At 39.5% G+C, this 15413-nt stretch overlaps 1 long non-coding RNA gene across 1 annotated transcript in view; it reads left to right on the top strand.

Annotated features, from left to right (window-relative positions):
- The window catches only part of RBBP8-AS1 (RBBP8 antisense RNA 1), a 210274-nt gene extending 203613 nt beyond the window's left edge, over positions 1-6661 (top strand). The window contains exon 5 of the long non-coding RNA NR_198963.1: positions 6403-6661. This is a non-coding gene — a long non-coding RNA (RBBP8 antisense RNA 1). The remainder of the gene's footprint in view (positions 1-6402) is intronic.
- The last annotated feature ends 8752 nt before the right edge of the window (positions 6662-15413 follow it).

The following is a 15413-nucleotide window of genomic DNA, read 5'->3' as shown; positions in this document are numbered from 1 at the left end:
ACCACTCAGGACTGAGTTTGACATGCAACAAATTCCAAATAATCATGCCTCAAACAAGGTAAAGCTTTATTTATCTCATGTAGAAAAAGTTCCAAGGAACATGGCCTGGGGTTAGCGTGTCCCTCTCTGGTCTTCTGTGACTGGATGCCCATATTTTCTTTCTGTCATCCTTGGTGTGTGGCTTTCAGCTGTAAGTTCTCTTTATGTCCCATGGTGGCTGCTGGAGCTTCAGTCTCCATGTCCACATTCTTGGGGACATGATAAAATAGATAAAATACAGGATACCCAGTTACACTTGAATTTTAGGTAAACAACAAATGATTTTTTAGTGTTAGTATGTTCCAAACTGCATAGAATGTACTTATACTAAAACCAATTATTTGTTGTTTGTCTGAAATTTAAATTTAAGTAGGCACCCTGTGTTTTTATTTTTTAAATGTAACAACCTGACATATTCTAGGCAGAAAGAAGGAGGAAGGAAGGAGGGCAGAAGGTCCCAGGATTGTCCCTCCTGGGTGAGTAAGGCCCTTTCAAACACTTCTACTTACACCTCATTGGTTACCCTTAGCTGCAAGGGAGAATAAATGAATGCCTAGAAGAAAATTGACATTCTGTTAGTAAGGAAGAAGGAAAAAAAATAAATACTGGGTAGACAAATAGAAGTTTCTGTGACAGGCAGAAGTTTGTTCCAGTGCTTCTGTCAGGTGGATGAATGGAGGGATCAGACTTTCACAGCACTTTTTAACAGTTTCTTAAGTGGGACATCTTATAGTCTTCCTTTCAACCTCTTCACTCCTCTACACCAGTTTAGCAGTGTTAGATGCTACAAAGTAACCCAAGGACATTGTCCTTTTTTCTGGAAGACTTTCCTATCCTTTTTGTATGTGGAAAAATATAAATTAATTAGAAAAACTCAGCATATTAAGGTCTGTTTTAGGAATGTCCATAACTTAGGTATTTTGGGCACATGGTTTTGGGCTATGTACTAATTGTTGATTCATTCTATATAGTTTCATCAGTATCTCCTGAGATATAAGTATGAAACACAAACAACCACCTTAGAATAGTTTAAAATAAATCAACAAGCTTTAATCCAACAGACGATAAATATGGAGCTTTCCAATCTAACATACTTCATACTCTCTTGGCTATAGAAAGAAGTCCATTTATGCTGAAATATTTGTCAATGATAAGAATGAATTCCTTGTTAATGAGTAATTTATTGTTAACAAGTAACAAGTAAAGGCATTTTAACATAGCACAGGAGGAGGATATTCAATATAGTCAAAGGCAACACTAAGCAGACAAGAAAACAAATAGGTTTATGAAAATGGGATATTTGAGCCCTTGAAAAGCTTATGTCTACAAATGACCAGTTTTTAAAAGAATTCTGGCAATAGATACAGAACTGATATAGTAGTATGGCATTTAGAAATCCACAAAATAGCTTTGATCTTGGATCATGCTATGCAGTGGCTACAGGACTAGGCAGCAGCAGGGGCATAAGGTATCCCAATAATACCTCTGCTCAATGACCCAAGGCCTGGCAGGAGAAATGTTGGGCTGGGAGACTTGAAGATCATGTTTGGTGGTGAAGCCAAGCAGATGGTTCACCTGAAGCATTGCTTCAAGAGGGCTAATTAGAGAAACAAACCTAGGTACTTGCCAAGGTACCCGAGTATGCAGGTTGGAATGAGAGTAGAAGGCAAAGCCTCCTTTGGGTTTGCACAAGATCCAGAGTGCAGGGGACAAAGACTTTTTGTAGTGTGTACTCAGGCTTTTGTGTAGGTGGGAAGGTGCAGTTAAGAGCACTGTGCTGGTCTGGACAAGGGTCAAGGAGACACACAGCATAGTGGTAAGAAGTATGGTGATTCCTTGTTTGCCTGGGACTCAGTTCCAGATCATAGGACTTACAGCATAAACTGGGAAAGTCCTGGTCATACTATGAAAAAAGAAGGTGTTGAAATCCCAAGTGGACTTTGGGCCCAGTTGGCCTATACAGTAAGGAATCACCAGTTATCAAAGCTGAAAGATACCTCAGAGGCTGTCCATCTATGCAAAACTTTTTTTTTCTTTTATTATTATACTTTAAGTTTTAGGGTACATGTGCACATTGTGCAGGTTAGTTACATATGTATACATGTGCCACGCTGGTGCGCTGCACCCACTAACTCGTCATCTAGCATTAGGTATATCTCCCAATGCTATCCCTCCCCCCTCCCCCCACCCCACAACAGTCCCCAGAGTGTGATGTTCCCCTTCCTGTGTCCCTGTGATCTCTTTTTTAACTCAATTAAGATCTCTCTCAATCAGCAGTCCCCAAATTTTTTGTCACCAGGGACCGGTTTCACAGAAGACAATTTTTCCACAGACTGGGGTGGAGTAGGGAGGATGACTTTGGGATGATTCAACCACATTACATTTATCATGCACTTTATTTTTATTGTAATATATAATGACATAATTATGCAACTCACCATAATGTAGAATCAGTGGGAGCTCTGAGCTTGTATTCCTGCAACTGGATGGTCCCATCTGGGGGTGATGGAGGACAGTGACATGGAAGTGTGTTGCTTATGTCCAGTCTGCTCCGTAATCTCGTTTTGGTTGCTGTCACTGCAGAAAATTCTGCTTCACTAAGATAGGATGCTGGGAACGGAAGTAGGCTTTTCAGTGCTTTTGTGGCAATCACAGGATATTTCACCTTGACTTTAATCCAGAACTATGGAGATTTGAAGTTTTCTCAAACATACTTTTAAGGCTACCATCATATGCAATCTCAAGCAGTTGATCCTCTTCTAGCATGGACAAAATCTATTCACCTGGCATATTCACAAATGAGTCACAGATCCATTCCTTCCCAGTTTGGGAGTCTTTTGTGTTGGGAAGTAATGCTCAAACTCTTGAAAGCTGAGATAGGTGATCATCCACCAGCTGGGAGAAAGACAGCCCTGGCTCTGTCTCTTTCAATATCTTTGCTAATGTTTGAAACATGTCAGAGACCCCAGTTCCCAATGTTCACTTGTTGCCCCTATAATTCCAGTTTGGCTTTGAATGAAGCGAATTTATCTGCCAACTTGAATACAGTTGTCATTCTCCCCTGAAGTGACATGTTGATTTTATTGAACAGGTTGAATATGTCCCAAAAGTAAGCAAGTTTTGGGACTCATTCTATGTCACTGAAATGTGTTGCCAGTGGTGATTCTTTTTCTAAAAGAAATCTCTGCAGTGGCTCTCATAACTCAAAAACTCTGGCCAGTGATCTACTTTTAGAAAGCCATCTCACTTCTGTGTATAAGAGAAGACGTGTGTGCTCTGTGTCCATCTCCTCACAGAGCTGAGTGAACAAATGTGAATTAAGGGCATGTACATTATTATGGTTGATAATTTTAATCATACCCTGCAAAACATTGTTAAGTTCAGGTGACGTTTTTTGGCTAGTCAGCATTTCTCTAGGGATTACACAGTGCATAGACTCACACTCTGAAGCAACCTCTTTGACCCAAGTAGTGAAACCAGAAAGCCATCCAGTCATGGCAGCTGCTTCATCCATGCATAAACCTACCCAAAATGACCAATTCAGTTTTCCTGACATGCAGTCATTCAAAGGCTTGAATAGTTCTGCAGCTGTGGTGTTGGTTGGCAATAAGAGTGAACATAACATATCCTCATGCACATCCTCCTGAAAAATAAATCACGCACAAACAAGTATTGTTGTCTTGTGGTCAACACTGGTAGACTTGTCAACCTGGATTGTGTACCACAGTGGCTCATTAATTTTCTCTGACAATTGTGCCTCAATAGCCTCTGCTATTTCATCAATTCATCTAGTTTTGGTACTAGCTGAAAGAGGAACAAGTGCCACTTTTGAACCACAGCCTCTCCTAAAAGTTCATGACAGGCCAGGCGTGGTGGCTCACTCTTGTAGTCCCAGCACTTTGGGAGGCTGAGGCGGGCGGAATCACTTGAGGTCAGGAGTTCAAGACCAGCCTGGCCAACATGGCAAAACCCCATCTCCACTAAAAATACAAAAATTAGCTGGGTGTTTTGGCAGGTGCCTGTAGTCCCAGCTATTCGGGAGGCTGAGGCAGGGGAATCACTTGAATCTGGGAGGTGGAGGTTGCAGTGAGCCGAGATTACACCACCGCACTCCCGCCTGGGCAACAGAGTGAGACTCCATCTCAAAAAAAAAAAAAAAAAATTCATGACAGATGTCCTTAGCAGCAGGCAGGATCAACTCTTCACCAATAGTGAAGGGCATCTTACCTTTAGCAATGCAGTTAGCCACTAAGAATGATGCTCTCTGTGCAGACACATTTGATGAAGTGGTGGCCTTCACTAATTGCTTCTGTTCTTTGTGTTCATGTTTTTTTCTTTTGAAAAACTCCAAAGGCTTGTCTTTTAATGCAGGGTGCCTCATCTCCATGTAGCAAAGCAGTTTGGAAGGTTTCATGGCTTCGGTGGATAGCCAGTCACCACATATTATACAAAGCAGGCTTGGAGAAGGTGAATCACTTGGTGCAATGAAACCATAATTTAAGTAGGACTCTTAGTATTTTCTTTTAAATGAAGATTTCTTTTTGTTGGCAGTCTTAGAGTCTTCTGCTGTCTCATCATTGGGTCTTTCCCTCTTTTCAAAGAAGCTCTCTAGTGACGTTTATTTTTCACTCATTTTGGCTTGGGTTAGCTTGTGGGCTTACCAAAACTGTGACAGAGACAAGTGCGCAGTGCAGGAAGGAGGCATGGATGGAAGTGGTAAATAAAATAATGGGCAGGCCACACACGGACTGAAATAAGTGTCAGATTCTGACTTAAAGCCTGCCACCAGATGCAGCTGTACAATCAAAGTACATCAACTCACTTACCACTATAAAGCCTGACACCAGATGCAGCTTAATTGTCATTTGCCACTGACTGATATAATTTTGTTATGAGTCCGCAAGCAATTGATTTACTAAGGTCTCTGTTCAGTCAAACCTCTCTGCTAATGTTAATCTGTATTTGCAGCTGCTCCCCAGTGCTAGCATCACTGCCTCAGCCCCACCTCAGATCATCAGGCATTAGATTCTCATAAGGAGCATGCAACCTAGATCCCTCACTTGCACAGTTCCCAATAGGGTTCGTGCTCCTATGAGACTCTAATGCTGCCACTGATCTGACAGGAGGTGGAGCTCAGGTGGTAACGCGAGCGATGGGGAGTAGCTGTAAATACAGATGAAGCTTTGCTCACTCGCCCACCACTCACTTCCTGCTGTATGGTCCAGTTCCTAACAGGCCACACACAGACTCGTATTAGTCGATGGCCCTGGGGGTTGAGAACCCCTGCTCTAGACTACCCACAACTGGCAGTTTGTTTTCCTGAAACTTCTGTTTTATTTCTTATTTATTTTTTCCACCTTTTAGGTTCACTGGGTTTGTTATATGGGTAAATTGCATGTCACTGAGGTTTGGGGTATGAAGGATCCCATCACCCAGGTAGTGAGCATAGTACCCAATAGGTAGTTTTTCAACTCTTGTCCCCCTCCCACCCTGAACACTTTTAAATGGTTTGAATTTTTAGCTATTATCATGCTACTAAAGAATTTTTAAAATGGAAAGTTACAATAAAGCAGTTCTCTTTTATTTTGATCTATTCAGAAATGAAAGTCCCTTGTACACATTTCAGTTCCTGAATAACTGGGCATTTACTCTTATTGATAACTACTTAAATATCAATTTTATAAACAGAGAAGTACTGGGAAAATAATAGAATTTATAGCCGGAAGGTCTGCGTTTGAGTCCCAATTCTATCCTGAATGAATTCTTTGACCTTGCTAGATTAAGAGGCTCAGAGAGATTATGTGACCTGCTTAGTACAGCAGAGCATTGTAACGACCTAGAATCTGTGCTCCAGAAAACCAAGCCCATATTCCGAGTTCCTCAGACTTCTTTGCTTTATCAACTATAATTCCCTTGAGTTGTTGGCTAACATCTTGCTAATGTTAAAACAGAAATCCGGGGGTCCTACTGATCCTCTTCAGGCTATGGTGACGCAAAAGAATGTAACTCATATCTTGATGACATATCTTTTTAGCTAAAAAATGTGCATATTATTACTATGCATCTGCAGCACAGCCTGTAACTTCTCAGTTCACTTTAACTGCAGTCTCATGACTGACACAGATGTTATTGCTCCCCAGTTACAGTATTTTCTGCTTGGAGGCATCTTGTCCTCTGTAATAGATCATGGGCCAGAGCCCCAGTGCTAAACATTAGCTAGTAATTTATGATCATACCTTCTGAGCAGAGAGGGCAGCCATAGCTCACTTTGGACTTGGAAAAGCACTCCAGGTTTTGCCTCAGCTCTTTTTATTCCTCTTTTCTTTTTCTGCATTTACTCATTACTATATCTTTTCAATTTAGAGATGGCCTGGATTCTGCCATGTAAATCAAAGAAGAGAGGGCCTAACTCAGCTGCCTAGCCTGGATCACCTGGAACCCATTAGGATACAGGATCATAAACACCTCTATTTTCCCTTCAGAGAGAGACCAGAACCACTGGAGTTAAGCTACCTGCATAAGAGTTGAGTGCGATCAGCTGTACTTAATCTTTAAATGTCCAACCCACTGATAACCTTTGGTTTGCTTTGATAACTATGAAATAAATTCTCACTGCATTGGATACTGGCATTCTGGTTTTTATTCAAGGCTGTATTGCAGATGTCATGGAATTTTGGACTGGACAGCAGTCCTTGGAGATCTCTGAGCCCGGTTACTGGCTTTCAGGCACTTAATTTCTAAGCCTTCCTCTGCCAACTCTAAATTTCTTCAGGGAATGACATGGCATTTGTGCATTACCAAGCTTTAGGTACTTTATGGGGTGAAAACCATTTGGAGGTGGGAGAAAGGTAAAAAAAAAAAAGAAAGATCCATCAAATCCAAAGCTTTACAACATAGTATAACAGAAAGAGTGCAGTTGAAATTTTGAGCATCTTGGGTTTGAATTCAACTCTTCTATTCTTGCCCCTTCTCCCATCCCCTGTCTCCCATCCCCCAGCAGTGAGATCTTGGGAAAATATTAACTCTTTTGGCCTTGTTTGTTTTTTCCTCTGTATAATGAGGACAGTGTTCAATGCCTCTCAAACTTGCATGTATATATCAACCACTTGGGGATCTTGTTTAAATGCAGTTTCTGATTCAAGCAGGGCTGGAGTGGAACTCTAGATCCTACATTTCTCAAAAGCTCCCAGTAGATGCCAACTCTGTGGGTCCGAGGACCATGCTATGAGTAGTAAAGGACTAAATCAGTGGTTCTGGCTAAATCACATAAAGAGCAGTTAAAAACACTGATGGACTCATTTAAAACCAGTTAACTCAGCATCTCTATTGGTGCACTCCAGACACTGAGAGTCTTAAAAACTCTCAGGTGATTTTTTTTTTTGACCTGAAATGATTACCCCTATAGTTTATTTAGAACATTTCTTTTTTTTAATTTAATTTAATTTTTATTTATTTATTTATTTTTATTATTATACTTTAAGTTTTAGGGTACATGTGCACAATGTGCAGGTTAGTTACATATGTATACATGTGCCATGCTGGTGTGCTGCACCCATTAACTCCTCATTTAGCAATAGGTACATCTCCTAATGCTATCCCTCCCCCCTCCGCCCACCCCACAACAGTCCCCAGAGTGTGATGTTCCCCTTCCTGTGTCCATGTGTTCTCATTGTTCAATTCCCACCTATGAGTGAGAATATGCGGTGTTTGGTTTTTTGTTCTTGGGATAGTTTACTGAGAATGATGATTTCCAATTTCATCCATGTCCCTACAAAGGACATGAACTCATCATTTTTTATGGCTGCATAGTATTCCATGGTGTATATGTGCCACATTTTCTTAATCCAGTCTATCATTGTTGGACATTTGGGTTGGTTCCAAGTCTTTGCTATTGTGAATAGAGCCGCAATAAACATACATGTGCATGTGTCTTTATAGCAGCATGATTTATAGTCCTTTGGGTATATACCCAGTAATGGGATGGCTGGGTCAAATGGTATTTCTAGTTCTAGATCCCTGAGGAATCGCCACACTGACTTCCACAATGGTTGAACTAGTTTACAGTCCCACCAACAGTGTAAAAGTGTTCCTGTTTCTCCACATCCTCTCCAGCACCTGTTGTTTCCTGAGTTTTTAATGATTGCCATTCTAACTGGTGTGAGATGGTATCTCATTGTGGTTTTGATTTGCATTTCTCTGATGGCCAGTGATGATGAGCATTTTTTCATGTGTTTTTTGGCTGCATAAATGTCTTCTTTTGAGAAGTGTCTGTTCATGTCCTTCGCCCACTTTTTGATGGGGTTGTTTGTTTTTTTTCTTGTAAATTTGTTGGAGTTCATTGTAGATTCTGGATATTAGCCCTTTGTCAGATGAGTAGGTTGTGAAAATTTTCTCCCATTTTCTGGTTTGCCTGTTCACTCTGATGGTAGTTTCTTTTGCTGTGCAGAAGCTCTTGAGTTTAATTAGATCCCATTTGTCAATTTTGGCTTTTGTTTCCATTGCTTTTGGTGTTTTAGACATGAAGTCCTTGCCCATGCCTATGTCCTGAATGGTAATGCCTAGGCTTTCTTCTAGGGTTTTTATGGTTTTAGGTCTAACGTTTAAGTCTTTAATCCATCTTGAATTAATTTTTGTATAAGGTGTAAGGAAGGGATCCAGTTTCAGCTTTCTACATATGGCTAGCCAGTTTTCCCAGCACCATTTATTAAATGGGGAATCCTTTCCCCATTGCTTGTTTTCCTCAGGTTTGTCAAAGATCAGATATTTGTAGATATGCCGCGTTATTTCTGAGGGCTCTGTTCTGTTCCATTGATCTATATCTCTGTTTTGGTACCAGTACCATGCTGTTTTGGTTACTGTAGCCTTGTAGTATAGTTTGAAGTCAGGTAGCATGATGCCTCCAGCTTTGTTCTTTTGGCCTAAGATTGACTTGGCGATGCGGGCTCTTTTTTGGTTCCATATGAACTTTAAAGTAGTTTTTTCCAATTCTGTGAAGAAAGTCATTGGCAGCTTGATGGGGATGGCATTGAAACTATAAATTACCTTGGGCAGTATGGCTGTTTTCATGATATTGATTCTTCCTACCCATGAGCATGGAATGTTCTTCCATTTGTTTGTATCCTCTTTTATTTCATTGAGCAGTGGTTTGTAGTTCTCCTTGAAGAGGTCCTTCACGTCCCTTGTAAGTTGGATTCCTAGGTATTTTATTCTCTTTGAAGCAATTGTGAATAGGAGTTCACTCATCATTTGGCTCTCTGTTTGTCTGTTATTGGTGTATAAGAATGCTTGTGATTTTTGTACATTGATTTTGTATCCTGAGACTTTGCTGAAGTTGTTTATCAGCTTAAGGAGATTTTGGGCTGAGACAATGCGGTTTTCTAAATATACAATCATGTCATCTGCAAACAGGGACAATTTGACTTCCTCTTTTCCTAATTGAATACCCTTTATTTCCTTCTCCTGCCTAATTGCCCTGGCCAGAACTTCCAACACTATGTTGAATAGGAGTGGTGAGAGAGGGCATCCCTGTCTTGTTGCCAGTTTTCAAAGGGAATGCTTCCAGTTTTTGCCCATTCAGTATGATATTGGCTGTGGGTTTGTCATAGATAGCTCTTATTATTTTGAGATATGTCCCATCAATACCTAATTTATTGAGAGTTTTTAGCATGAAGCGTTGTTGAATTTTGTCAAAGGCCTTTTCTGCATCTATTGAGATAATCATGTGGTTTTTGTTGTTGGTTCTGTTTATATGCTGGATTACATTTATTGATTTGCATATATTGAACCAGCCTTGCATCCCAGGGATGAAGCCCACTTGATCATGGTGGATAAGCTTTTTGATGTGCTGCTGGATTTGGTTTGCCAGTATTTTACTGAGGATTTTTGCATCAATATTCTTCAAGGATATTGGTCTAAAATTCTCTTTTTTGGTTGTGTCTCTGCCCAGCTTTGGTATCAGGATGATGCTGGCCTCGTAAAATGAGTTAGGGAGGATTCCCTCTTTTTCTATTGATTGGAATAGTTTCAGAAGGAATGGTACCAGTTCCTCCTTGTACCTCTGGTAGAATTCGGCTGTGAATCCACCTGGTCCTGGACTCTTTGGTTGGTAAGCTATTGATTATTTCCTCAATTTCAGAGCCTGTTATTGGTCTATTCAGAGATTCAACTTCTTCCTGGTTTAGTCTTGGGAGGGTATATGTGTCGATGAATGTATCCATTTCTTCTAGATTTTCTAGTTTATTTGCGTAGAGGTGTTTGTAGTATTCTCTGATGGTAGTTTGTATTTCTGTGGGATCGGTGATACTGATTCTGATATGCAGCCGTGGCTGAGAACCATAAGCCTAGGTCAGCGATTCTGAAACTTGAGTGTGCATCAGAATCACCTGCAGGACTTGCATGAAAACACAGGTTTCTGGGCGCTACTCCCAGAACTTTTGATTCAGTAAATCTGGGCAGGGCCCCTAAATTTGCATTTCCCAAATGACGTTGACACCTCTGGTCTGGGGACCACACTTTGAGAAAACTGGTCTAAATAATCTCTAAGGTCCCTTTCAGCTCTGAACATAGCTTAAGCCGTTAAGAAACTCTTCTTTTTCCATAGCACGTATTCAAATATAGATTATTCGTGACTATAGTGTATAAATTTTGAAGTCAGTTACTCAGTTGAACCAAGGCATCTGTTCAAAACATGAACTTCTTTTTTTCATTTACTTTTCAAATATAACTTCTTGTTCTGTCCTGATTATAAACATAAAACATGACTACTATAAAAGTTGTGGAAAAGAAAGATAAATATAATGAAGAAATTTTAAAAATTCCCATATAACAAATTATATTCCCATCCAATATTTTCTTTTTATGCAAGCAAATATATATTTAAATAGTTATAATAGTCTATACAATTTTATCTTCTGTATAAACTGTTAAGTGTGGCTTCTCAAGTGCTGTATCTGGATTTATATCTTGACTCTAACACCTAATAAGCTTAAGGATCTTGGTTCAAGTTCCTATCTCTCTGTGTTGAACTTTTTTCATTTGTAAAATGCAGATAGTAATGGTGCTTACCTTGTAAAATTTGTTTTGAGGATTAAATTAGTTAATACGTTTAAAGCTGTTACAAGAATAGCTGGCTCATAATACTCTATTAATTTTATTATTTAACATAACAATATTTTTTCATAATCAAAAGTTACAAAGACTCTATAAACATAATCTTTTGTAGACTTCGAATTATTCTCTAGTACTATCCCTACACTAATTTTTCCATTTTCTTGTTTTTATTGATTATTATGCTGTTCTGAAAATCTTTGTATATGACTTTTTGCTCATAGACGTGAATTTCCTGTAGGTAGTAAGAAGTAAATCTAATAGGTGTCTATATCGAAATGCAGATTTAGGGTTCTTCATATATATGTACAGCCCTTTGATGATATATTTCTGGAATTTAGGAACAGTTAAGGCTGTGACTTGTTATTGATAATTATTAGCCTGTGCTGGAAATGGAAGTGGGTAGAAGAGCTTGTTTCTGCTTTCTCCTCATCCCAAACTATTTATTAATTCAACAAGAATCAAAGGGTGCTGTGGGGCACAACAAAGGGAAGAAGGCTTAATCCTATTCTTGTTTATCTTTGAGTTGTAGAGGTCAGAGTTAAACAAAGCTGTCTGGGCTTAAGTGCGGGTTACTGTTGGTGAAAATGGGACATACATTTATGTTAAAGGTAATAGCTCTACCATTTATATTTAGCAAAAGGTCAAAGAATATTTGGCAGATCCTCATGGTAGACATTTCTATCATTTGTGAGCAAATTAATATTAAATGTATTCATGAGCTATCATAAGACAATATTGGGCTAAATTTATGTTCATTTTTATCATAATTCTTTACACAAGTATTTTCACTCTGAATATATATCATATTATGGAGGCATTATAAAATAGTAAAAGTGCATGAATTTTGAAGTCACATAGACCTCGGTTCAAATCCCAGCTCCATTACTTATGAATTATATAGTCTTGAGGTAAAAAGAGATTCTGCTATGTCAGTTTTCTAATATATAAAATGAGTGTTTGTGTGTGTATGCACATATATATCTATCTACCTAGATATAATTCTAAATTAGCAAGTAAACCATGTATAAATTAATAAAGTGTATTTTAGAGCAATTAGGCTGCAGTCTGGTAGCTAGGAGACTATACAAGGTTGAAATTAGAAGTTTTTGAAATTCATAAGTTAAAAAAATGGGCCAGGCACTGTGGCTCACGCCTGTAGTCCCAGCACTTTAGGAGGCCAAAGTGGGCGGATCACGAGATCAGGAGTTTGAGACCAGCCTGGCCAACATGGTGAAACCTGTCTCTACTAAAGATACAAAAAATTAGCCAGGCATGTTGGCGCGTGCCTGAAATCCCAGATACTCAGGAGGCTGAGGCAGGAGAATCATTTGAACCTGGGAGGCGGAGTTTGCAGTGAGCTGAGATTGCGTCTTTGCCCTGCAGCCTGGGTGACAGGGCAAGACTCTGTCTCAAAAAAGAAAAAGAAAAGAATTTATTAAATTTTAGTGATTAATAATCAAGCCAAACTATATTTTAACCAGCACTGGAACTGATTTATATAGAAGTATGAGACCAAATATGCCTACCTTATGATACTCCCTTTTCCCCTTTGGTATCAAAAAATAGAATGAGCTTCTTTTCTCTAGACTGATGCCTCTGTAATCACAGCTCTGTCCCCAACCTATTCAGATGGCTTCCCTGTATTATCAGCATGACCCTTCCATAGTCAGGCCAGTACTGTCTGTATTTTAGGACCTTCCCTTGCTCTTTCCCACCTTCATGTAGATTTCTGTTTTCAGGAAGCTTATAGCCTAGAAAAGAAGAAGAACATCAAACTAAGTAGTTATTGAAAAGAGGGATGAGTGATGTATGGAAATTTACAGAGTGTGATAGCAACAGAGAGCTGGGAGACCTAATCTGGCATTTCTGAGAAACACCATTTATTCATTCAACAAATACCTGATGGACACTTAGTATGGACCAGACATGTGTTAGGTCTAGTTGGGTATTTAAAAGGAAACATTACAGACACAGTCTGTAAAAATGATGTGTAGCTGGAATTAAAAGATGAATAAGAAATAACTGTGACAGGAGGTGGGAGAGGAAGATGATTTTTGGAGATGGCAGGAGGGCTGAGTGATGGTTTAATGTGGGGCAAAAGCAAATGAGTTGAGTCAAAACTGTATTGAGCAGCTGGATCGACGGGGGCACCATTTACTGAAATGATGGATAGCAGGTTTGGAGATTCATTTATTTGTTTATTCCATAGTTACTTATTGATTCTGTTTTATATGCCAGACCCTGTTCTAGGCATTAGGAATAAAACAATGAATAACAAGACCAACATTCCTGCAAGGTAGTCTACAATCTATGGAGGAAGGTAGACAATAAAATATATAGTATGTCCAATATTGATAAATGTTATAAAGACAAGTCAGGAAAAGAGGTTAAAGAATGCTAGATCAGTGGGCGTGTTGAAATTTTATGTACGATTGTCAGGGAAAGCCGTACCAACAGGTGATAGTTGACTGAAGTCTTCAGGGATGGGAGAGAACAAATGCTTATATCAGGTGGAAAAATAGGAAAAGCAAGTGCAAAGGCCCCTGAGTTGGGAGCATGGCTAGAGTAGTGAGTTGGGGGATGGTAGTAGGAGATAATGTCAGGGAAGCAAATGAGTGGAGAGGGATTATTCAGGGTGTTGTAGGCTTTATAATGCCTTAGGATTTTACTTAGAGCAGATGGGTGACATTGAAGGGTTCTGATCAGAAGGGTACATTTTAAAATGTAACTATGATTAAGTTCATTTAAACATGTTCATTAAAAAAAATCACTCTAAGTTCAGCTTTGGGCATGCTAATTTTTGAGACTCAAGAGATATCCAAATGGGTTATTCAAAGATAATTAGATACATGAGTCGAGCTCAGAAGGTGGTCTGCAGAGAGACATGCATGTGTGAGTCATCAGAAGTTCAGTGACAACCAAAACATCAAGCCATGGGGATTGATGAGACCATCTAGGAAAGAGTACAGAATGCAAGGCACAGCTGTCCTGGGATGGTACCTTGAGGTGGTTGGGAGAAGAGCAGGACTCCGTAAATGAAATGGCAGAAAGTAGGAGAGAACTTGAAAGACAGTGGTGTCAGGAAACCCAGGAAAGGGCTCTGAGAAGGATAGAGGGTAAACAATGCCCAAAACATGTTGGGAGGTCACAACAGGACAGAAGAGTGTCCATTAGACTAAATAATGTGGGGAACATCAATAACCTTGGCAAAAGCAGCTTCAATGGAATATTGAGGAGGATGATGGAAGAGGAAGGTAAAGAAGTTGATGAAGCAAGCCCAGGTAAACCTTCTAACTTTGGCTGCCTAGGGGAGCAGAAGAGAGGATAGCAGCTGAAGAAGGAGTTTTGTAAGGTGAAAAAGACTCAGGTATGAGTTTCATGTTGATGAAAAGAAGGTACCACTGGAAAGAAGGAAGTTTAAATCCCAGAGAGCGGCAGTGATAGATGGAGTGAGATTCCCAAGAGGGTAGGCAGGAGAAAATGAGACCTAGAGCAGAGTAGAGGGATTAAACTGAGATGGAGGGAGGGAAACTTGAGAGACCAACATAGAGATGGGAGAATGGCTGCTAGTTGGTGGGAGTGGGAAGCCTCGGTAGTATTTGACACGCATATGTAATTGTGATGTGTTCTTACGGTGGGTCAAACATGGGGGGAATGGGTGGGGCTACTGGCTGCCACATGATACAGCTGTCAATTACTCCACTGTCCCAGGAGCCCGAGAAGATGGACCTATTATTATTTTAAAAATATGTAATATCCTTTATTAAACATTGCATATAGCCACTTGTGTTTGGGTTTACACCTACAACTGCAGTGTGACTTGCTATTTTTTTTTTTTTTGGCAAATTCCACCATTAGTTTTATAATTTTATAGCCACCAAGAATGTCACAAAATGAGTGATAAATGCTTAATAACTATTGGATTCAGCAAAGAAGTTGCTATGCCATTCAAGAAGAGTTATAATTCTGACATGAATATTAGCTCATTTATGTTAACAAGAAAAATGGAAGTGAAACAACAAAGATATATCTTAAAAATTTTTTTCATGGTTTGAATTTTTTTTTTGATGGACCTATTCGTAAGCGCGACTTCTTTTTGCTTACAAAATTTCAATGGACCATCTGACAGGATCTCGCCTAATATCATGGGAAGAAAAGTCATTTTCTTTCCATCATTTTGTACTGATTATCATTTAAGTTCAACATATATTTTGCAACAGTGTTCTTACAAGTATTTGTATTACATGTTTTTGGCCGGGCGCGGT

The sequence above is a fragment of the Homo sapiens genome, chromosome 18 (assembly GCF_000001405.40).
Source record: "Homo sapiens chromosome 18, GRCh38.p14 Primary Assembly".
In the NCBI taxonomy this organism is placed as follows: domain Eukaryota; kingdom Metazoa; phylum Chordata; class Mammalia; order Primates; family Hominidae; genus Homo; species Homo sapiens.
Note: the sequence above shows the minus strand (reverse complement) of the source record. Positions and strands in the feature narration are given on the sequence as shown.